General features: G+C 40.3%; 1 protein-coding gene across 20 annotated transcripts in view; it reads right to left on the reverse strand.

Moving 5' to 3' along the window:
• Window positions 1–24,199, reverse strand: part of EPG5 (ectopic P-granules 5 autophagy tethering factor) — a 166,749-nt gene that overhangs the window by 56,926 nt on the left and 85,624 nt on the right. For 11 of the 20 annotated variants that reach the window (XM_047437710.1, NM_001410858.1, XM_047437703.1 and 8 more), the window contains 11 exons: window positions 22,569–22,717; window positions 21,507–21,708; window positions 20,870–20,942; window positions 18,730–18,836; window positions 13,061–13,236; window positions 10,057–10,242; window positions 9,292–9,501; window positions 8,109–8,253; window positions 2,598–2,840; window positions 1,060–1,276; window positions 347–562 (listed from right to left, as the gene is read on the reverse strand). In XM_047437710.1, the coding sequence (XP_047293666.1) occupies window positions 347–562; window positions 1,060–1,276; window positions 2,598–2,840; window positions 8,109–8,253; window positions 9,292–9,501; window positions 10,057–10,242; window positions 13,061–13,236; window positions 18,730–18,836; window positions 20,870–20,942; window positions 21,507–21,708; window positions 22,569–22,717 (1,924 nt within the window). Of the gene's footprint in view, window positions 1–346; window positions 563–1,059; window positions 1,277–2,597; window positions 2,841–8,108; window positions 8,254–9,291; window positions 9,502–10,056; window positions 10,243–13,060; window positions 13,237–18,729; window positions 18,837–20,869; window positions 20,943–21,506; window positions 21,709–22,568; window positions 22,718–24,199 lie in introns of those variants that run through there. The other 9 variants (XM_047437706.1, XM_047437704.1, XM_047437709.1 and 6 more) reach the window with 2 other exon arrangements.

Consider the following 24,199-nt stretch of genomic DNA (forward strand, 5'->3'; position numbering starts at 1 on the left):
GACTTGGCTTTTAAACTATGCTCGCATACCGTCCATGACTAGCTCAAAACCAAAAAGAAATCAGTAGTGCAGTTAGGTTACAAAGTCCAAACACAACAGGAGATACTATTAAAAATACTGTTTGAATTGAAAATTTTTTTTAAAGGTAAGAAAAAATAAAAATGCTTTTTAGAATGTAAAGATGTAATCAGGCTCTGTTTTTTTTTTCTTTTTTTTTTTCCATTAATCTTTCTGGAGAACCTAGATCCTAAGTCGAAAAACCTACTGAAGTATATCACAACCTGTAAGTAGGTACAGATGTCTGAGGCCTATTTAGAACAACAGTGTTAGAAAGGCGCTTCCTTACCTGTTAGACAAAGGCGACTTCCGGCCAAACCCAATTGCCCCCAGGATCCCAGAGCTGAGTCTCTCCTCAGCCACGAGGTTCTGCCTGCTCTGAACCAAGAGCAGAATTCGAATGACAGATTCTGTCAGGACGGAGTCATTCTGCTCTGTCTGAATGAGGGAGAGCTGAAGGACTTGGTGCCACCACAAAAACAGCTTTGCCTCTTCCTCCACGGAGCTAGGGGAGGCACCGGAGGAAAATAAAATTAGAAGTAAATTTTTCCCACTCCCATTTAACTGCAAGTCCACATCAGAGTTTGAAGGATAGGAGACATTCAGTACTTCAAAAGCACAGGCTAACGGCTGATGTTAATAGAGCCATGGGATTGTAACCACCGCCATCTGTGGAACACCTACTACACGCCACTGTGATGAACTTCGTGTTCTTCCACTTCATCCTCATGACAGCCCTATCAGGTAGGGATTACTATCTCCACTTAACTGGTAAGGAAACTGATGCTTGGTGTTTCAAAGTGCCAGTTTTAGGAAACAAAAAATCTGCTCAGAAGATTAGCCTATTAATTAAGAATCTTTCCAAAACAACTGTCACCATACCTTAAAACCTTATTTTTTATGCACCTCTTGGTTCTGTGTACTTAAAGCTAGACTTAAGCTCTAAATTCCAAGTTAACCAAATACAGCAAGTTTGATGTAACAGCCTGAGGGCCAACGTACCTTGGGTACACCTGTTCCAGCCACTTGCTTAAGATGAGCAGCACTTTCATTTCATTCCTTAAAGTCTGTTCGCTGTTTAAACACTGAAGCAAGTAGACGTAAAGAGTCAAGTAACTGCCCAAGGTGAGGCACTCCTGCAGGAACTCTTCCATGGTGAGCTCGGGAACCTGAAGGGATACCAGAATGGGTCCCCATCCTGAATTCTGATTGAGAGGGCCTAAGAACATGAAGAAGAGACATCAAGATATAGGCAAGAATCCAATTACTTGACAACTCTAGCAAATATTTTCACTTTAAGCTTCATGATTTTTTTTTTTGACATAGCAACCTATGAGATAATAAGCTTCATGTCAAGACAACCTTTCTTACAGTGACCTTGGAGGCTACAAAAGTCAAATATACCTCAGGGCTCAGACTGGATAGCCCTCAGGCCAGATGCCTGTCCCCAGCGTAGCCACCAGAAAGGTTTAAGAAATCAGAATTCAGGGCTGCATACGTATAAATCACCTTTCTATCACATTATGATCCTTAAAACCACATGTAGACACTGCCTGTCCTGGTCAGTTAAGAATTTTAACTTTAATACCCTTTTTAAGAACATATGAACACTTATGCTTTCCGACGGGAAACTGTTATCACTCAATCTGTGAGTAGTTTTACTTATCAAAGCTTAGTTTAACTCATGTATTGAAACTGTTTGATTTTTAGTAACACACATGAGTTTGGAATAGCAGTGTTATCCTAATGGTTCTCCACTCTTTGGGGGAGCGAGGGTGGGGTGGCATGGTGACATGCACACCACCTCCATGGGTGGGCATGTGCTGTTCATGGGTGGTCAGGACAGGGCAGATGGCAGGTTGTGGGCACTTCCTGGATCCTTGCTCCGATACCCTCCTTCTCACTACTGCTTCTCTCCCACTGACTGCAGTGTGATGTGTTATCTGGATATCAGAGTTGAGAAGTGCTGTTCTCAGCAATTCTTAATCAGACTAAGCCGCTTCCAGAGTCTGACAGTTTAGAGGTAGAAAGTAAAACAGATTTTTAAAAAGGAGGGGTGACAATGAATGAGCCCTTCATAATGCTTTAAAAGGTCTGATAAGCAGCAATTTTAAAAACTTCTATGAAAACTCCTTTTACCAAAAGTGACAAAAACAGGGAAAATTAACCTCATGGACTATGATTATATAGATCCTGGTATATAGCATTTGTTCTGAGGACTATGACTTGGCCTGTGACACAACACAATTTGCATATCATAACAGGTTGGTCTGACCCTCCAAAACTAACGTGAAGTGGATTAGAGCTTTTCTCCCTTGAAATGTGATTGTACCAACAGACATGGCCACAGGTTCTCATGCTAACTGCAGATCTTTATGAAAAATACGTATATTCAGAAACATCCACAACATTTGTAGAGCAGAAAATTAGAATGGCAAATCCCTCACTGGGAAGAGTCTGGAAACATATCTGCTGATGACAATGCTTTCATCTTTCTGGAAAAGACCAATACAATGGAGCGTAAGATGACCTCCTCTTACTTTCTTTGAAGTAGGCAGTGATGCAGGCTTCTGTAGTCTCAGCCATGTGGCGGACGGACGCCAGGCTCTGGCAGGCTGCTGTTAAAAGGGGCAGCACCACCAGCCCATGCATTTTTTGGCCAATCCAGGTCCGGATACTGCCCCGAAGGAACTCTGCTGTTGGAATAGTCGCGTTGTTCATCATCATCAGGACTTCCATAAAGAGGCTGCTGAGGGCCATGTGGCGGGTCTGGCTGTCCATGTCTGAAAGGAATATAGACACACTCAAGAATGGCTGCCAGAAAGGTACTATCCATGTGATCAGGAGAATAACAGTGCTTCAATCTTAGCTGTTCTCCAGGCAGATTTTACAGTGCTAGTAGCTGACTGCAAGGGACTGGAAGGAAGGCTCTGGATGGTGTTAAGTTTGTACAGGTAGTATGCGGCACACGGTTACTAAGAGTAAAAGCAGGAACTACTGTGAGTTCCCTGGGTACAGCAGCATAGCAGAGCAATACTTAATAAATAGACAAATCTGAAGCTGGTGTGAAAGAGTAACTTATCAGAACATGCCTAGTCAGTCTTTATTTTCCAACCTTTGCTCATGGAAAACCAAATACGTAGATCTCACCAGTCATTCAGTAAACCAAGTAGCAAAAGTACCCACTGTCACTGCCACCGCTGTCAATATTCTAGGGTGATTTACACACATTAAAGGTTATTACTTAAAACTAAATATAAATGTAAGGAAAAACCTTTGTAAAGTGTCCTAACAGCAGCTCTTTTATTTCTTTGTTTTTTAAATAAGGAAAGTAAACCAACTGGTAATTTTTCAAAAAAAATTGGAGGTAAAGAGAGAGGAATTCAAGAAAAAGAACGAATTCATTTTACAAGAGAACTGCAAATCTTCACATTCAAAAACAGAAAATATATTTTACTGAGAGTTAAATGGAATAATTTTTGCCAACTCTTCTAGCTCTCCTCAAGCTGTAGCTTTCACACCACAAGGATTCAGTATTTATGTCAATAGGAAGGGTAAAAAGTTGAGAGATCTTACTCATCGCATCTATCAAAACAAATTCATCTACTTATGCAGGGTTAAATAAACCCTCACTTAATCTTTCTGTACGACCTACTTACTATCAAGCAAGGACTTAAAAAACAAGTTTGAGAGAGATAGTAACAGTATATCTGTCTATTTCTTCATGTATTTCTATGGGTACAAATATTCTTGGAAATAAAGGCTCATCTCTGAATTTCAACGGAATAGCAATTTAAATTTTATCTCTTAATTATGACTAATAGGAATAGATTACTACAACAGACCCTAGTCTCTCCCATTCCTGTTCATATCAACAGGGCTCTCAAATCTTTTCCTAAATACCATATCTGATCCTATCACTCTTCCGATGAAGATCTTTCCAGAACACCCTTCTCTCCTTTCCCTGGCCAGCTATTATTCAACCTTCCTGGTTCAATCATATCTGACCAACTCTAGAACAGTTTCTCCAGCATTGCTTGCTGATAGTTTTTTTCCATAAGATTTATTGAATGTGGCTGACTTGCCAGGCTGATGCTAAAATTTTAGATATTATCTCACTCAATACTTACAATATCTACATGAAACAGGTATGACCATTAACAACATTTAGCACCGTTTCATGTTTATTGGTGATCAGTATATTTTCTTTTGCAGAATGTCGTTTCAAGGGTCTTGTCCATTTTTTTCTACTAAGTTGTCTTTTTCTTCCTTGTTTTATCTGGTATGACAATCTTAGTCATTCACAGTTATTATAATTAATTACTGATGTAGCTGGGTCTAAATCTACTGTCTTCCTATATGTATCCTATTTGTCCCTCCTATTCTACATTTCTTTTTCTCTCTTTTGCTTCTTTTAGATCATTATTCTACTTTTTCCCTGTTTTAGCTTGAAAACTAAATCCTCTCTTAAAATTCTGACAGTGGTTATCCTATAAATGAAAACATGCATTCCTGATTTTTTGAAGTCTAATGTTAATTGGTTCCCAGATGATGTAATGGCTTTGGAACATTCTAACTTCATTTCTCCACTGTTGCCATAGCCCAACAAACCATTTCTATTATTATTGTCTTATACAGTCAGATTTCATTTAGATTTACCCACACATTTACCAGTTTCATTGTTCTTCATTCTTAGTTTCTTCCTATTTATTTTCTCTTTATTATTTCCTCCCCTCTACTGTCTTTGACTGTAATTTTGCCGTCTTTTTAAATAACTGTTTAATGCTTATCTTTTTAATTTTCACCTTTTAAAAAAGTCTATGATGAGCACTTAAGGCCCTGAAAGTAAGTGATACGGTTTGGATCTGTGTCCCCACCAAATCTCATGTTGAACCGTAGTCCCCAATGTTGGAGCAGAGTTTAGTGTGAGGTGGCTGAATATGGGGGTAGGTCCTTCATGAATGGTTTAGCACCATCCTCTTGGTGCTGTTCTCATACTAGAGTTCTCAGAGATGTCGTAGTTTAAAAGTGTGCAACATCTCCCCCCTTGCTCATTCTCTCTCTTGCTCCTTCTCTGGCCATGTGGAGTGTTACTCTCACTCTGCGTTCTGCCGTGATTGTAAGCTTCCTTAGGCCTCTCCAGAGGCCGAGCAGATGGCAGCACCATGCTTCCTGTACAGCCTCCAGAACCATAAGCCAATTAAACCTGTTTTCCTTATAAATCACCCAGTGTTGGGTTTTTCTTTATAGCAGTGTGAGAACAGGCTAAAATAATAAGTCCCATGTTAGCTGCATCCCACAAATTTTGATGCACTGTATTTTATTATTCAGTTGTAAGTATTTTAAATTTCTATTATGATTATTCCTTTGGCCATCAGTTATTTAAAAGTTTGCTTCTTAATTTCCACAGTGTTTTTCCCTCTAGTTCTATTTAGTTACTGATTTTTTTTTCTTTGTCATGCAACTTCGGGGCAGAAATACACAGAGATGAACATCTGGCTTTTACAAAGTTTTCTGCCTTACAGATCTATTTATCTGATATTAATATAGCTATGCCAGCTTTCTATTTTAATATTTGCCTGACATAATCATCTTGTGGAAAGCTTTCTATATCCTTAGGCTTTTGATGTATTTCTTATCAACAGCTTAAAGCTAGATGTTTTTGGTTATTAACCTACCTTAACAATCTTTGTCTTTTAACTTAAGCATTAGTCCCTTTACCAATACATTTGAATTTTATCATCTTATTTTGGTTATTTTTCTCACTTTCTCCATGCTTCCTTTCTTGCCTTCTTTGGACTGAACATACTTTGGACATTCCTTTTTATCTCCCTCTACTGACTTGGAAATTGTACATTTTAATTTCTATTCTTTTGGTTAATTTCTTAAAATTGTTAATATTCATACTTTAATCAAGGTATAAAGTTAATCTCTTGACCACTAAACAGCAGTAGAACCTTAGAACACTTTTAACTCAACCTCCTTCCTAGCATGCTTTAGTATTTTCTTTAGTGACACCTACTGGGACAAACACTCTCAGGGCTCAATGAAAGTATGGTTCTTTACCTCGTCTTCATCATTAAAGGGTGGCTTTTCTTAGTTTACAATTCTAGGTTATGAGTCATTTTCTCATAGCACATTGAAGTTGTTATCCCACTGTCTTACAGATTCTTTTATTGATACTGAGAAGTCAGCTGTCAGTCTAAATGTTGCTCCTTGGTAGGTAATCTGCCTTTCCTTCCTGGATGTAAAGGGTTTTGTTTTGTTTTGTTTTTTAATTTTGCCACTGGTACTTCTGCAGGTTCACTATAGTGTATACAGGTTTGAATTTCTTTCCATATATCCTACTTGGGATTTGCTGGGTTTACTGAATTTGAGGATTGCTGTCTTCATCAGCCCTGAAAATTTTCAGCCTTGCTATCTCTTCAGATATTGCTTCTCCCCAGTTAAGTATCTCCTCTCCTTCTGGAATTCTACTTGGATAATAGGATGTATATTAAACCTTCTCAGCCTATCCTCTATGCCTTTTAACCTCACTTTCGTATTCTTTTTATTTTAGAGATGGGGTCTCACTATTTTGCCCAGACTGGAGTGCAGTGGCTATTCAGACACAATCATTGCACACTGTGGCCTCGAACTCCTGGCCATCAGCAATCCTCCTGCCTCCGCCTCCATGCCCAGCTCACTTTTACGTTCCTTCTCTGTTCCTCTGTGCTGCAATCTGAGTATTTTCTTCAGTTTTGTTTTCCAGTTTACCAATTTTCTCTTCGGATGGGTTTAATCTGTTGAACTTATCCATTAACTTTATTATAATCTTTATATTTTTCATTTCTAAATTATATAAATCTCTCAAATCTGCATATTTCTACAATCCCTTGCTTCTTACTGATATCTTCAATCCTCTCTTATTTCAGCATATAATAAAAATAACTTTTTTGCTTACTGTACTAATTATTCCACTATCTTCAATCTTTTCATTTCTGACGCTGCTGTTGTTTTCTATTACTTTGCTCATGGTACCTTGTTTCCTGTGTTTTGTGACTTTTTTTACTGTGAGTTTCTTGGAACTTTGAGGCATGAGTTAAAGATGCGTTTCTCCAAACAGGAGCTATGGTTGCTTTTTGCCAGATGCTGGTGGCACCGCCAACCCAGAACTACTCTAAATTCTTAGATTGAGGTTGTTGTTATTACTGCTGTTTCTACCAATCTAGGTAGTCTGAATTCTTGCTTCAAAACCACATGAGGGTCAGCTTGTTATCAATTCTCAAAACAGATATCTCTTTTCCTGCATAAACATTTAACCTAACAACGAGGCCAAAACAGGTAACTGTCTTTGCCTTCCTCTCACAAGAGGAGGTTTACTTCTAGCTTATCTTTACAGTAAAAATGTCACCCTGTGGATTATGCATCGGATTTCCTTTTAGGCTCCCATCTTAGGCAGGCCCTGGGCTTTACCACCTCCCCCTAATATCCAAACATATTCAGCAAAACTCTTCAGGGTGACAGCAGCCTCAGAACTCCACCTACCTTTATGGGTTTCTCCTTTCACTTAGGTTCTGGCCTCTGAGGTTCCCTTACCTTTTTGCCACTCCACTAATAAATTTAATTTCCAGTTTCTTAAAAATATTTCATCCAGCACCCAGTTATCTTCAGCAGGAGAGGCAGGCAGTATGTCTAGTCCACCAAACTGCTGGGAGCAGAAGGTTCTCCAGACACAGTTTCTTGACAAGTCTACAGGTGATTCTGAAGTGCCCTCCCAGTTAAAAGCCAAAATCCCTAGAAATGCCGCTCACTGAAAGGTCTCTGATATCTCCTAATCATTAGATCCCATTGTCCAGCTTAAAGGTCAGTCTCGCCCACCACCCAACAGCATCTGCCAGTGTCAATCCTTCCCCACTGCTGAGTCCCTGGTGTCCAAACACCTCTCTGACCATTGCTTCTCTGGAAAGAGGAGTGCCAGTGTCCTGAACATCCTCCTGATCTCACAGTGCCTTACGCACAGCAGGAATGCATTGACTGAATGAATACAGGACTTCCGACTGGTCACTTACCGGGCGGGTTAAAGACAATGATATCGTCTAAGAGCTTAGACATTTCCTGTTCTAGGACTGCTAAGGTGATTTTTCCATTTTGTTCCAGGGTGCTGAGGAATTGAACCATCTGATGAGTAAAAGCTTGGCATTTTGGAACTGCATCCTGACCAAAAAAAAAAAAAAAAATCATTCAAATGAATCCAAGCAAGGAGTGTTAACTGCATATTTCCTGGGAGCATGGCACTGCAATGAATGCTTGGGTAGGGAGTAGAGGGGACAGAACAGGAAGCCACATGAAGACTTAGTCCCACGTGGCCCAAGGGGCCTAGTGAAAGGCAAATCTATGGTAACACTTTGACCAGGGCCCATGTTTTCCCAAATTGTGGCAGAATACTCTTCCTTTTTTACTACAAGAATAACAACATTAACCAAACACTAACTACTTGCCAGAAACTTTTCCAAAAACTTTTATGTTCATTATCGAATTCAATCCTCAAAACACCACTTTGAGACAAGGTACTATTTCTTTTTTTTTTTTTTTGAGATGGAGTCTCACTCTGTTGCCCAGGCTGGAGTGCAGTGGTGCGATCTCGGCTCACTGCAACCTCCTCCTCCTGGGTTCAAGCGATTCTCCTACCTCAGTCTCCCGAGTAGCTGGGAATACAGGCACCTGCCACCATTCCCCGGCTAATTTTTGTATTTTTAGTAGAGATGGGCTTTCACCATGTTGGCCAGGCTGGTCTCGAACTCCTGACCTCAGGTGATCCGCCCACCTTGGCCTCCTAAAGTGCTGGGATTACAGGCGTGAGCCACCGCACCCAGCCTTTGCAAGGTACTATTTCTAATCAGATGAGAAAACTGAGGGACTTGCCCTGTCAAGCCTAAGTTCATATTACCAACCTCCCTTCCTCCCTGCTATTCTGCTGCCAATGACATTCAGATCATGAAACCAGCAGCTTGCTGGCAGCCCTCAATCCTTTTGACCTTTCATCGACATGTGACATTGCTAGTAAGTAAAAGTTCACCCAAAGGGAGAACTCAACCCAAAAGATCTACAAGGCCAAAAGATGAGTATATGATAATACACATCCTCCGACTTCCTCTGCTGAGCACTTCCTAGCTTCGACTGTCCTTTGTAGCACTTATGCTGCTACCAATCTCCAGGAACAGTCTCTGCCTTTTAAACTACCTCTCAACTTACAAGATGCTTCTGGCTGTCAGTAGGAATAGAAAGGCCCGCAGACACTTTTAGGAGCTTCATGATTAATTCAGCATAAGATTCTTTTGCCAGGATGATGGACGGCGGGTAATGGCTGCTGAAATAACTTAGCACACTCTGGTACGACACAATATCCACAAGATGCCATGAAAGTGAGCTTGTCTGTCCAAGGAGACTAAGTAAAGGTGAATCCTAAAAATAAAACACATATTCCTTTAGTTCCAGAGCCCCAATTTTTCCAGAAATATGTGTTGCTAACTAGTCTGTGGAATAACTACTAAGATGGCCTATGGTAAGCACAGAACAGTTATGATATCAAGTAAGTATCTACTCGAGTTAGGAGTACTAGTGAAAGCAATAACCAAACTTTTGGCAAAAACACATTCATATTAAGATGTATTGAGTATCTGGAACCCAGGTTCTTTTCTTTCAAAAGAACTCCCTGTTCTGGTGGGACATGCCAAAATTGACTTCAAGAAGCATACAAGAGATTGAAGTAGATATTAATGAGATACAAAATAAAGTTGATTAATACATTCTAACTCAGTGTGGTTCTTTGCATAATTTAGAATCAGATAATGAGCTATCCAAGAAAATCAGGCATCTGGTTAAAGGTACATCTCATATGCCAAGCATCTGTTCACACTGATAGGGGCACTGGAAAAACAAATGAAAAACTACGACCTAGTAGAAAGCAAAGATCTAAGCAGCCTTGCCGAATTTTTGCCATAAGCTTCCCAAACTTACTGTTTGGTCTACCAGTTGAACTTCCTTTGCCAATAAAATCATCATGAAAAGGAGGCAGACAATCATGCTGCGGGTTTCTGGGTGGGGACTGGAATTCCAGGCATCAGAGAGCACACTAACCCAGTTGACTTCACAGAGTACAGACCCCAAAAATAAGAAACAGCTCTTGGGGCTTCCTCGTTCCACCTAAAAGAAAATGAATTAAAATCATTCTGTTGCCTTGTGCTATCTATGTATCTGGAAAATGTATGTAAATTGTTTCATAATTATGTTTTTAAAAAACACTTTTTCCCCAGATTATATCACTTAGAATCCCACCTCCTAGAGATTTAGACTTAATATTTGTAATATCTTTCCTTCCACAGTGTATGTGTGTATATTTTAGTTTGTCTGTTCAGATTTCAGCATTTATTCCAATCATTCTTAATAAGCGAGGAATGACCTTCCCTAACCCCAACCTGGGTGGAGAATCGCTGCCACAGTAAGTCACTGGAGCTGCAGGGAGTGTATCAGAATCCTCAGGTGTGCCAGGACAGGGCAAAGTTGAAATTTACTAGTCAGTAGTTCCCAAACTTAAGTGTGCATCAGAACTAAATGGAAGGTATATTAAAACAGACTGCTGGGCCTACCCCTAGAGCTTTTAATTTTGCAGGTATGGGTTGGGAGCCAGAATGTGTAAGTTCCCAGGTAATGCTGATGCTGCTGTCCCAGGGACCACACTACTTTGAGATCCACTACACTAGTGTATATTATTTATATTGCCTTTTTCCTTTTTCCTTTTTTTTTTTTTTTGAGATGGAGTTTCACTCTTGTTACCCAGATTGGAACGCAATGGCACGATCTTGGCTCAACGCAACCTCCGCCTCCTGGCTTCAAGCAATTCTCCTGTCTCAGCCTCCTGAGTAGCTGGGATTACAGGTGCCTGCCACCATGCCCAGCTAATTTTTTATTTTATTATTTTATTGCTTATTTTTTATTTTATTTTTAGTAGAGTCCGGGTTTCTCCATGTTGGTCAGGCTGGTCTTGAACCCCCAGCCTCAGGTGATCTGTCCACCTCAGCCTCCCAAAGTGCTGGGATTACAGGCGTGAGCCACCGCGCCCGGCCTATATTCCCTTTTTAATGTAATGCTGTATTATAACAATGTCTCCGTATTATTAGTCTTTACAATTTTTGATGACTGCATGTTTAAATTCTATTTAAAATATGAGAGGCCGGGTGCAGTGGCTCACACCTGTAATCCCAGCACTTTGGGAGGCCAAGGCAGGTGGATCACAAGATCAGGAGATTGAGACCATCCTGGCTAACATGGTGAAACCTCATCTCTACTAAAAATATAAAAAATTAGCTGGGCATGGTGGTGGGCACCTGTAGTCCCAGCTACTTGGGAGGCTGAGGCAGGAGAATGGCGAGAACCTGGAAGGAGGAGCTTGCAGTGAGCCAAGATCGTGCCACTGCACTCCAGCCTGGGTGACAGAGCAAGACTCCGTCTCAAAAAAAAAAAAAAAATTAGAGAATGAGGAACAGATGTACTATAAAGTATATAAGAAACCTCAAAGATCTCTTACAAGCTATTTAAATACTTCTAATTTGTTTAAAATAAAACATGGCTACTCATGAATTTTTCCTTTCAAAATGAAGATTAAAAGCTCTAGTCTATTTATAAAATCATGATCAATGGAATTTGGTGATGATTCATTTCTTGTCATTACTGTTATTATATTATGCTAACTACTAATTCTCTTCCTTTTAGAAAATGATTCTTCATTGTCCATTATAATCTGTTCTCTATCCTCATCCTCAACCCCACCAAAAAAATATAGTTTATTATGCCAACAAGACACAAAGAATTAAAAGATCCCCAGCTTCTGGGGTGGTCAGGGTCATCTGCCATTAGAATAAAACTCCTAGAGACAGAGTCTACAGCATCCCTTAACAGGCTGTGCTACTATCTAATCTGTCTTATAGTTAAGGTCATCCTTTTTAAAACTCCATCTTATAGTTCTTTAAACCACCTTTCTCTAGTATGTTCATAATGGTGATAAATATTTACTTAATGCCCGTCTCATATACTAAATCTAGCTATAAAATCATTCTTAAGCCTGGGATTTCTCTAGAACAACTGCCCTCAGCTTTTCTTGCATTTCAGCTACTGAGTGGCTGACAAGAGCAGCACAGATGGGGTTCCATTAAGGGCACTAAAAAAGTTAAGTATATTTTGCTAACCTTCATAAATAACTGTAGATCTGTATCAAAGCACTTAAGGTGTCTCAACAATAAATGTGACAGTAAGAGTAAACACTAACTGATGAGACTATGAACAAATGAACTGAAACTACCATAAAAACCTAAGACAAGAGTGTAATTAAAAAAAAAAAAAAGAAGAAAAACAACAACAGCTCCAAATGCCTGACTAGTATGTAAGTTACACTACACTCTCTGTTTTCTGGTTTTGTAACCATTGCTTCTACTGCAAAGACTCGCATGCACTCTCTTTTTTTAAGTCATTTCAGGTCTGCACACGATTATGATGCATCATCGGTTGTCACAATGCATTTTATCTCCTATAATCAAATTATTCACTTGCATAACTGCTAAAAGAAACTAATAGCTTCAGTACCAATTTACATTTGCTTTAATAGGACATTTAACGATAAGCAGTTGTTGACACAAACTGTAATGACACAAACACATCAATAACAACCAAGATTAAGCATAACGGAGGCATTAAACTACGTACTCACACGTGACAAAGTCTAGGGGATGACTGACATATTATAGATAAAATCTTTCTCTGGGTTTTAAAAATGGTCCTGTAGATGTTTTAACACGATAAAATGACTTCCACAAGACACTGTTTTCCACAGGCACCACCGAGGCAACACAGAATGTATTCATGGTCCACGCTAGCACACACTGCCACTATGCCTAACAACCACAGTGACCAGGCTGCTCCCTAGAAGCCAGATCTCTCTAGGCTGCGATGCCGGGAATGAAGGGCTTACTTTGAAGAAGGCCTCCATGAGCATCTGGTCAGGGTGCAGGTCCTTCCATGGCAGTTTCCGGTACGTGCTATGGAAAGCGTACAGAATGAACTCTGGCATTTTGGGTGCTGTACATGCTTCACAATAATGCATCAGGTGCAACCAAAGGGCTCCTGCATCACCTGGCAACAGCTTATCTAGAATGTGAAAAGAAAATAGAGCTGAAGACCTTTGGTTTACCTTAAAAAAAAAAAAAAAAAGCAAATTTGAACTAAAAGTCTAAAATCTAAGGTTCTCATGATTGACCCAATTTCAAAGATTTTCATGTAGGGAGAGTGGTTAAGGGGACTACTGGCAGATTAGTAATAAAGAATGGTACTTTAATTACCCACTCGGGTAACTGGAATGAGCAGATGCTGTGTGGGAAATAATCAGCTTTTCTTTAAAATTTCTAAACGTATGGCTTTTTAACTGAAATACACTCCTACAGCTTGTTGCCCTCAGTATGTATTCAGTTTTACACATTTAGTGCTTCATTCATTTGGCACTCAGGAGAAATCCAAAATCCCTCAAAAGGAAATGTTCCATTTTTTAAAAGAAGGCATACAAATAGCCAATAGGTGCATGAAGAAATGCTCAGCATCACTGATCATTAGAGAAATGCAAACTAAAACCACAACAATGTATCAGTGCACAGCTGTTAGGATAGCTGTTATCGAAAAGATGAACGATAACAAGTGTTAGAGAGGATCTGGAGAGAAAGAAACTCTTAAACACTGTTGGGGGGAGTGTAAATTAGTACAACCATTATGGAAAAAGGCATGGAGGTTCGTCAAAAAACTAAAAATAGACTACCATATGATCCAGTAATCTCACTTCTGGGTATATATCCAAAAGAAAGGAAATCGATAGGGAGAAGGGATAACCACACTCCCATGTTCACTGCAGCATTATTCACAATAGCCAAGATATGGAAACAACCTAAGTGTCCTTCAAAAGATGAATGGATTTTTCTAAATGTGGTGTATATACACAATGGAATACCAGTCTGCCTTAGAAGAGGAGGAAATCCTGTCATTTGCAACAACATGAATGAATCTGGAGAACTCATGCTAAGTGAAGAAAACGAGGCACAGAAAGACAAATGCCACATGCTCTTACTCATATGTGGAATCTAGTAAGTTGAACTCATTGAAGTAGAGAATAGAATGACAGTTACCAGAGGCTGTGGGGTGTCAGGGGAAAAGGGAGGGAATGAGGAGTTGCTGATCAAAAGGGCACAAAGTTTCAGAGGGCAGGAGGAATAGGTTTCAGGATCTATTGTACAGCAGGGTGACTACCGTCCACAACAATGCATTACGTATTTCGAAATCAGAAGAGAACCAACTTTAAATGTCTCATCATAAACAATGAAAGGTAAGCAAGGTGATGGATATCTTAATTATCTTGATTTAATCATGCCACACTGTAAATCACACTGTACCCATCAATGTATATAATTATGATTTGTTAATCAAAAATAACATTAATTTTTTAATTTTAGAAACGGTGGAAATGTTCCAAATGACTAAAACTTAATTAACCCTTGGTGCAATGAAACTAGTCCATTAACTGTCATTCATGTAAGTCATTCTAAAATAAATCTCACGCTTTTCTGAGACCTGGATTATTACTCAATATTATCCTCACAAGTATCAATTCCATTAATGCCTTCAAGGGCTAATGACTATATAAGGGACATTTAGTCTAAAACAAGTGGTTTCAGACTTTCTGGTTCCATGCTAATGGAATGCAGTCAAAGAAGAGAGAGCCACACACAGTAAGAACAGAAACCTGATGGTTTCTCAACACAAATCTTTTAAAAAATGGCCAACGAGGCTGTGTGCAGTGGCTCACGCTTGCAATCCCGGCACTTTGGGAGGCCGAGGCAGGCAGATCACTTTAGGTCAGGAGTTCGAGACTAACCTGGCCAACATGGTGAAACTCTGTCTCTACCAAAAATACAAAAATTAGCCAGGTGTGGTGGCAGGCACCTGTAATCCCAGCTACTCGGGAGGCTGAGGTGGGAGAACTGCTTGAACCAGGGAGGCAGAGGTTGCAGTGAGCCAAGATCGCACCACCGCACTCCAACCTGGGCAACAGAGTGAGACTCCTTGTCCAAAAAAAAAGCCAATGAGCATCAACACATTGTACCAGACAACTCTCATTTCTAACATGCTTGTACCCTCAATTCCACAACCCGGCATGGAACAGGAATGCACATTTTTAACAACCTTTAAGACAGAGGTTAATGATAGCATTCGTTTAAATATGGATAAAAGACAGTTTTGTTTAGATAAAGTTGGGTAAGTATGTAGAAGATATCCAGAAGGATGTCTTAGGATAGACTGAGCTGATAGTTCCAGCCAAGACACAAATTCTGTGACGTCAGATAAATTCTTTTCATTTTCAGGTCCCCACTTTTCTCATCCATAGAAGGAGCTAGTGGATCAGATAACCTCACTAAAAAGCTGCAATACTTCTTCATCCTACCTTGCAAAGCTCTCCTGTTTCCTTTCTTTGAACCCAGCTACCAAGTCTTGATGTCTGTGAACCCTTCTGTCCTATGCCACTTTCTTATTTTATTCATATACAGGGGCAAGAGAGCCTTGGGGTGCTTTCCCCTATACTAAGAAATTAAATATGGCTGGGCATGGTGGCTCATGCCTGTAATCCCAGCACTTTGGGAGGCCAAGGCAGGCGGATCACAAGGTCAGGAGTTCAAAACCAGCCTGGCCAATATGGTGAAACCACGTCTCTACTAAAAATACAAAAATCAGCCGGGTGTGGTGGCGGGCGCCTGTAGTCCCAGCTACTCGGGAGACTGAGGCAGGAGAATCGCCTGAACCCAGGAGGCAGAGGTTGCAGTGAGCCAAGATCCTGCCACTGCACTCCAGCCTGGGCAACAGAGTGAGACTCAGTCTCAAAGGAAAAAAAAAAAAAGAAATTAAATATATAGCCTTTATGATTATAATTTGGTGCTCAAATCTTTTTCTCAGTAATCAATATATTCTGGATGGTAAAAAGCAGCTAGAAGTCTGCCTTTCAAAAAAATAATTGAGTACTACTAGGATTTCATGTGTTACTCATTGAACCACTATTTATCAAACACACACTGAGAATATGGCATTACCCTAGTTTTGTAGGGAGCAAAAAGAAGCAAAGAATAACATTTCTGTTATTCTATGAAGAGTTTACACCTCTTCAAGGTAAGATAAGATATATAAAAGATAAATCAGAAATACAAATAAGGTACAGCCAGACAAAATGAAATGAGCTATCCAGCCATGAAAAGGCATAAAGAGACTTCAATGTCTATTACTAAGTGAAAGAAGTTAATCTGAAAATGCTATGATTCCAACCATAGGACATTCTAGAGAAGGTAACACTATGGAGATAGTAAAAGGATCAGGGGTTGAGGGGAGGGAGAGATGAACAGGCAGAGCGCAGAGGATTTTTAAGGCAGTGAAACTGCTCTGTATGATACCACAATGGTGGGCACATGTTATTTGTCATTTGTCAAAACCCACCGAATGTGTTTACCAAGAGAGAACACTAATGTAAATCATGGACTTTCATTGATAATGATGCCTTAATGTAGGTTCATCAATTATAACAAATGTATCACCCTGGTGTGGAATGTCCAGAGTGGGGAAGGCTTGTGCATGTGTGGGGGCAGAAGGTATAAAGGAATTCTTGTACTTTCCACTTAATTTTGCTGTAAACCTAAAACTGCTCTAAAAAATAAAGTCCGTTAAACAAAAAATAAAATCTATTACAAAAAAAAAACAAAACTGGATGACATATGCTTAACTGTATGTATTAGCTCATTTTCACACTGCTGATAAAGACATATCCAAGACTGGGTAATTTACAAAGAAAAAGAGGTTTAACAGACTCACAGTTCCATGTGGCTGGGGAGGCCTCACAATCATGGTGGAAGATGAAAGGCATGTCTTACATGGCAGCAGGCAAGAGAGAGAATGAGAGCCAAGCAATACGGGAAACCCCTTATCAAACCACCAGATCTCATGAGACTCATTCACCACCAGGAGAACAGTATGAGGGAAACCGCCCCCATGATTCAATTATCTTCCACTGGCTCCCTCCCACAACACATGGGAATCATGGTAGCTACAATTCAAGATGACATTTGGGTGGGGACACTGCCAAACCATATCACTCTATAACTAAATGCCACACAAACACATGGCAGCCACAGGGGCACTAGGTGTATTCAGTGGAAGAAAACACCATGGGCCAGAAGCAAAGAGGAAGCCAGAGTGTTAAACAGATGCTGAAACCAGCCAACCGAGGACTATTTGCCTGCTGAGTTTTAACAGCACAAGAGGACAGAACATGAGGTTTTCTAAGGACTATATTCTTACTGAAAGGGTAGAATGGGGCAAAAGAGGAAACTTCTCTGCCTTACCCTAGATTGTGAGTCAGGAGAGATCAAAAAGTTTACTGTGAGAATTGAGGCCAGCCCGCAAGTGAGTTTGGGGTTTCATTTCATGTAACTGGTAGCACGGGAAACCCCAAACCAAGAAGTTAAGTAGTTCCAATTGACAACAAATGTAGATCCTCTCTGGAGGACTTACACACCCTCAGCCTAGGCCTTATGAGATTCCCATCAGTCTCTCTAAATATGGGCTCACAATACAAAATTTAAAAACACACAAGGAAACATGCCTCCAAGAACAAGAATCCAAAGGAAAATTAAACAGCAGCATAAGACAACCCCCAACAGGAATTTCAGATAATAGAATTAATGTACATACATCATAAAGTAAGCATGTTTAAACAAATTCTAAGGAAATAAAAAATAGAATTTTAAATGAAAGAAAAGATACTACCAAAAAGGATCAGGGTACATTTGAAAAACAAACAAATAGATCTAGAAATGGAAAAAATAATCACTTCAATGAAAAATTCAATTGATATATTTTAAGCAGATGAGACAGAGCTGGAGAGAGACTAAAGAAATGGAAGGAAGACCTCTAGAAATTACCCATAATAAAGCAAAAAAAGACAGAAAATATGAAAAAGAGGTTAAGAGTTAGGGAGGACAGGAAGAAACTCAACATGCAGGACAGGCAATATTGGAAGAGAGAAAGACTGCAAATTTACCATAACTGAGAAACTCAGAGCAACCTAACAAAAAAAGGTAAGAAGTTACACACCTAAAGGCCGGGCGTGGTGGCTCACACCTGTAATCCTAGCACTTTGGGAGGCCGAGGCGGGCAGATAGCCTGAGCTCAGGAGTTTGAGACCAGCCTGGGCAACATGGTGAAACCCCGTCTCTACTAAAACTACAAAAAAATTAGCCAGGTGTGGCGGCATGCGCTTGTAGTCCCAGCTACTCGGGAGGCTGAGGCAGGAGAATTGCTTGAATCTGGGAGGCAGAGGCTGCAGTGAGCCCAGATCACACCACTGCACTCCAGCCTGGGCGACAGAGCAAGACTCCATCTCCAAAAGAAAAAAAAAAAAAAAGTTACACACTTAACACTAAATAATTGTATCAGCGACTTTTCTTCAGTCACAAATAACTGCCTATTAAATAAAAATTAAATAGAGGAAAGTAGAAGAAAAAGACTGACTGACTTAGGGAAAAATGAAAACTAAGCAGAGACAGCCTGACATCTTCCTACCTTTAAAACTCTCATGCAGTGAGTCAATACAGTCAGTGAACAGCTGCACAATGCTTGAGGCCACCACAGTATCACTCTCTAGCCAGGGGTAATGCCGCTGTTGGCTGCTTTAAAGAAAAGAAGCACACACTTAGGAATGCAACCGTGATTAAAATACTGTTAAGTCCCAGTGTCTAGGGCTGGCCTAAGTCCTGGAAGCCTGTCCATTATGTAGGCCTGACACACATTTAGAATACTTAAAAGGCTGTAAATAACTGCAGGCGAATTGTAGCTTGTAACACCAGCCATATAATTTTCTTTCATCTCCTTCATACCCTTTATTCCAATGCAATTAGATTTCAAAAATGTGCTATCTAAATAACCCTTAAATTAACATCTTTTTACATCAAATTTAGACCCTTGGACATCTTGGTTACATTTCAAATGCCGTAGAAAAACACCCTAAGTCAGCTTCAACAGTTTTCTCTACTCAAAGCATTAAAAAAAAAAAATCAAATTCACATAACAAAGAGATGGCCAAATATTAACAAATAGAAAATGAGCAAATAAAATTTTTTTTTTTTTGAGAGAGAGAGTCTTTCTCTGCCACCCAGGCTACAGTGTAGTGGCACGATCTTGGCTCACTGCAACCTTCACCTCCAGGGTTCAAGCAACTCTTCTGCATCAGCCTCCCGAGCAACTGGGGTTGCAGGCACCGACCACCACATCCAGCTAATTTTTGTATTTTTAGCAGAGACAGGGTTTCACCATATTGGCCAGGTTTGTCTTGAAGTCCTGACCTCAAGTGATCCACCTGCCTTGGCCTCCCAAAGTACTGGGTTTACAGGCATGAGCCACCACGCCTGGCCCAGAGAAATTCTTTATATGAAAAATTTAATTGGCTGGGCACGGGAGCTCATGCCTGTAATCCCAGCACTTTGGGAGGCAGAAGTGGGCAGACTGCTTGAGGTCAGGAGTTCAAGACCAGCCTGGCCAACATAGCAAAACACTGTCTCTACTAAAAATACAAAAAAAATAAAAATTAAAATTGAAAAATAGCTGGACGTGGTAGCATGCATTTGTAATTCCAGCTACTCAGGGGGCTGAGGCAGGAGAATCGCTTGAACCTGGGAGGCAGAGGTTGCAGTGAGCCAAGATCACGTCACTGCACTCCAGCCTGAGCAACAGAGTGAGACTCTGTCTTAAAAAAAATTTTTTTTTATTTTCTGAATCTGGTCTAGAAAACTCAATATCCAAATAGGTTCCGTTAATTCTTACTGGAAATAAACAAGCAGCCAGCACTATGGTAAGCAGTCTATATGTACACAGTCACTATAAAATCCTGAAGCTTGCAGATTATTCAGATAGCCCTCTAGCAAAAGCAAACATTCAGAACCTTTTATACTTTCCTTAAGTGGCTCGTAAAGCATCATGGGTTAATGCAAAGAGTCTAGAAACAGAAGTCTAAGACCTGAGTTCTAGTCGCAGCTTCAGCACTAACCAACCAGCTATGAGACTTGAGTTTGACATTCATGTTCTCTGAGTCTCAGAATCAAATTCAAGTTTTTGAAAACAACTCCTATAATGTGATGTTTACCACTGTCGTAATTTTTATAAAACCCTGACAAGTTCAACTAGCTTCTGCTTGTATACTTTCAGGGAAAAAAAAGACTCAGAAGGCAACTCACTGAATTTGGACAGCTCTATACCTCTAAGTATTTCAAATGCTTGTGAAATAATGCTTTAATTGAAGAGTCCTAGATTTAAAGGTAATTCCCACCCAATAATTTTATAGCCAACTTAGTTCCAAAACACAACTGATGTAGTAGAGAAAAATCAGTCTCATAAAACCCTCAAGCGAACAGCATCATTTTTTCTGAAATTAAACACTAAAGTTTATTCAACCTCTTATTGTGGAAAACTGGAAATGAGTGTCCAGTTTTGTTCCAAAATTATTATCAAGATAATATCTCTGATGATCCAGACTAGCAATTCCATAAATAGAAAATGTCTTAAGTTTTGAAAAGAAGCCTTTTCTAAATTTAAATATGGCCTTACACTAAAAAATTAAATCTGTGAACTCATCACTTCTACCAAATACCATTTAGAATTTTAAGTCTACAAACGTCAAAGGAATTTGAATATCTAAAAAACTGTTTACCTTTCGTTGTCCTCTAAAACCAGGATCCATGGCTTAAAGAGCTGAATGATTACTGAATGTAGGGATTTCAGCACTAAAAAGTTTTAGAGACAAAACAAAGGTCATCATTTGTCATTTGTCAATATCACTGCTCACATTATATAGAAAAATCTACCTCTTATTATCTGTAGCTTCATAAACCTATGTTAATGTATAAACAACATGCTTAGTGTAACTATGTATGTTTACGTTTTCATTGGCTACACTGGAATTTCTCTGAATTGAAGAATTTGTATTACAATACAATATCATGGATAATTTTATAACACACTTTTAAAAAAGATAAATGTATAAGATTTAGAACCCCATCTTAGTAAGACAAATGACAGAAAGGGTTGGAAACTGAAACCTCTCTGTACCCCAACCTGCAAAGGAGGGGCAGAGACAAGCTATAGCAAGCACCCTACATTCACTATGTAATGAATATATCCATTCATATATTGTGACATATATGACACATATATGGGCTCATGCCTGTTCTATATATTTCTACTTTCTCTCCTTGACACTCAATATAAATCTCTTAATGTGCCTATTTAAATCTCTCTTAATGGAAAGTCCAAACACCTAGCTCCACATCGCATGAGAAGTATATTACCTGTTTTCCTGCTGGCAGTTGGGTCTTGGGCCAAACAGGTCATTTCTAAGTCAATCAGCCTTTTCACAAGGTAGCCCAAGAATGTCTTCACATCAGCCATATAAGGACTCCATTTTGAGAATAAACCAAAGCTTTTAAAGTCCATCTTGGATAACCGAAGCTTATAAAAAAAGTCTGAAAGCCACTGTATAGTCTCCATTACCTGGAAGAGACAACTAGTCAAAAAATGCTTACTAAATATGTATTTTAGTAAAGTGTTATGATACACTGTGATGGGGGTGTATATAGTAGGTCTTTGACTTTATAAGAGAGTGGCAAAAATATAAAGCATATGAGAAATAAATCAATGGTTTTTTGTTTTTGTTTTTGTTTTGAGGTAGAGTCTTGCTCTGTCGCCTAGGCTGGAGTGCAGTGGCACGATCTTGGCTCATCGCAACCTCCGCTTCCTGGGTTCAAGCGATTCTCCTACCTCAGCCTCCTGAGTAGCTGGGACTACAGGCGTGCACCACCATGCCCAGCTCATTTTTGTATTCTTTAGTAGAGACAGGGTTTCACCATGTTGCCCAGGCTGGTCTCGAATCCCTGACCTCAAGTGATCCGCCCACCTTGGCCTCCCAAAGTGCTGGGGTTACAGGCATGAGCCACCGCGCCAGGCCATCAGTGGGTTTCAAACCTTTTCTAAATCAGTGGAACCATTATTTCAAATAAATTCTCATGCAAATGCATATCAAACAGAAAGGATAAAACCCAGAGCTCCATGGGACACTGCATCATAGAAACCCGACCAGAGGTCTCAGGGTGGAGTCCGATGGGCTAGGGTGGGCAGGAAAGATCTACAGGGGAGTGCCTGCCCTTGTCTTGGATACATGGGCAAGAATTAGACTCAGGGGAATGGGGTGAGCCATCTGGAAAAAGGGGACACGAGGGAACCAAAGCACTTAACACAAAGAAAAACACATGGCTCTTAAAGATAATGCACAAGTTTTCCAACTGCTTAAAAAATGAATAGCAAGGGAAATAAAAAGAAATGCACAAACACGTCAGAGACCAAAGGCTACACACCTGCTTGTCTGACAAGAGAGCATCAGAAGAGCTGGGAAGCACGGCGCCCTCGGTGGACGCTGCCCCCTGCTGGCAGCTGGGGGCGCAGCAGCCCAGGGCTCTCAGAGTGGCCTTCCAACACTCGGGGCTCAGAAGCTGCTCCGCGGAGCCTGCCAGCAGGGACAGGAAGAGCAAGTCAGTGGCTTTCCCGAAAGGAATATTTTAACTTGTAACAAAGAATATGAGCACCTTATAAAGGAATAAAAATAAAGCCAAAATCCAAAACAAACTCACAGGGATATCTGGGGTGAGGAGGCCCAAGTAAAGAGAACCTAAGAGAAGAACTGGCCACCTGCACATTTGGTTTTCCTGGTTCCTGGTAACCCTGCTGGGAGTGAGCGCTGCTGAAGCTGGTGGAGCTACACTCAGAGGGGTGGGAGACCTGACCCTCCGACCCTGACTGGGGAATGGTGGCAGTGCCTCTCCTGGCTGGGGGACCACAGCTATCTATGAGTGTGACAGAAACAACAGTCACAGGACAACGGAAACCACATGATGAAGGCAACTCAGGGCCTGGGCTCTCCAGAAGGAGTCTCCTACCGGCCCCCCAATTCCCCGAAACCAAGACCCAGAGGCAGCATGGAAACGCTGGACAAGTCCAGCAGCCCATATTCTGAACTAGTCCCAACTCTGCTACTTAATAACTTCCCATCCCACAGGACAGGAATAATATCTCCTAAAGTACTTTCCACCCAGAGCGAACATGAGAATCAACTAAAATAACAGGTTCATGGAGCAGGTCTGAGGAGAACGATGGTGAGGCCAGTTACAATATGTCCAGTGTGAGGTACCTGGGGACAGTGCCAGTCTGTGTCCAATGGCCACTGGGGTCTGGATCTTAGGACAGCGCCCCAAAATTAAGCTATCACTGGAAATCACACATGCCTAGAAGGTGGCAGTGACATCAGGGAAAACAACGGGCTCACCCAGAGGGAATGAATGCAGTAGAAGAGCAAAGGATGCTCCCAAGGGAACATCAACATGGTAGCCAAGGAGGAGAAAGAAACCAGGAGGCTGAAGCTCATGACATCTGAGAGGTATCATATTGTTATTCTTAAGTCTGAATTACTTTTCTTGGTAAGAACAAATTTCTAGCTAAATTCCAGTCAATAGTGGTCTAATATAAATGGTTTACAATCTCTTTAAAAGATTTCAGGGAAAAATCCACAACACACACTATTTGAAACTTTAAAAGCTTAGAGAAAAAATTAGCTATGCACATATTCATTGGCATTTGTACAAATGTATTTCCCTTCCACCATTCTCCACCCACCCTGCAACCTGCCTCTGTGGGAAACAATTAAAGCTTGAAGTGCTTTCAAAATGAGAGGCTGCACATTTCAAGGTCCTTTGGGCAACCCGATACACTGGATCATTAACTTATCCATTAAACTATTTCTATGATGTAACACAAAAATTTGGTATAAAGCAAAATTTCATTTGCTATTATATCTATAAACCGTATGAAGTTTGCATTAAAAAGTAAATACTATCTCATTTATCAAATTTTAATAAAATTACTGCCTAGCGAAACTCCAAAAATAAAAAAGCCTACCCTATTTATTTCTCCTCTAAACTCTAAAATTGCTATA

Source organism: Homo sapiens, chromosome 18 (assembly GCF_000001405.40).
Source record: "Homo sapiens chromosome 18, GRCh38.p14 Primary Assembly".
Taxonomy (NCBI): Eukaryota; Metazoa; Chordata; class Mammalia; order Primates; family Hominidae; genus Homo; species Homo sapiens.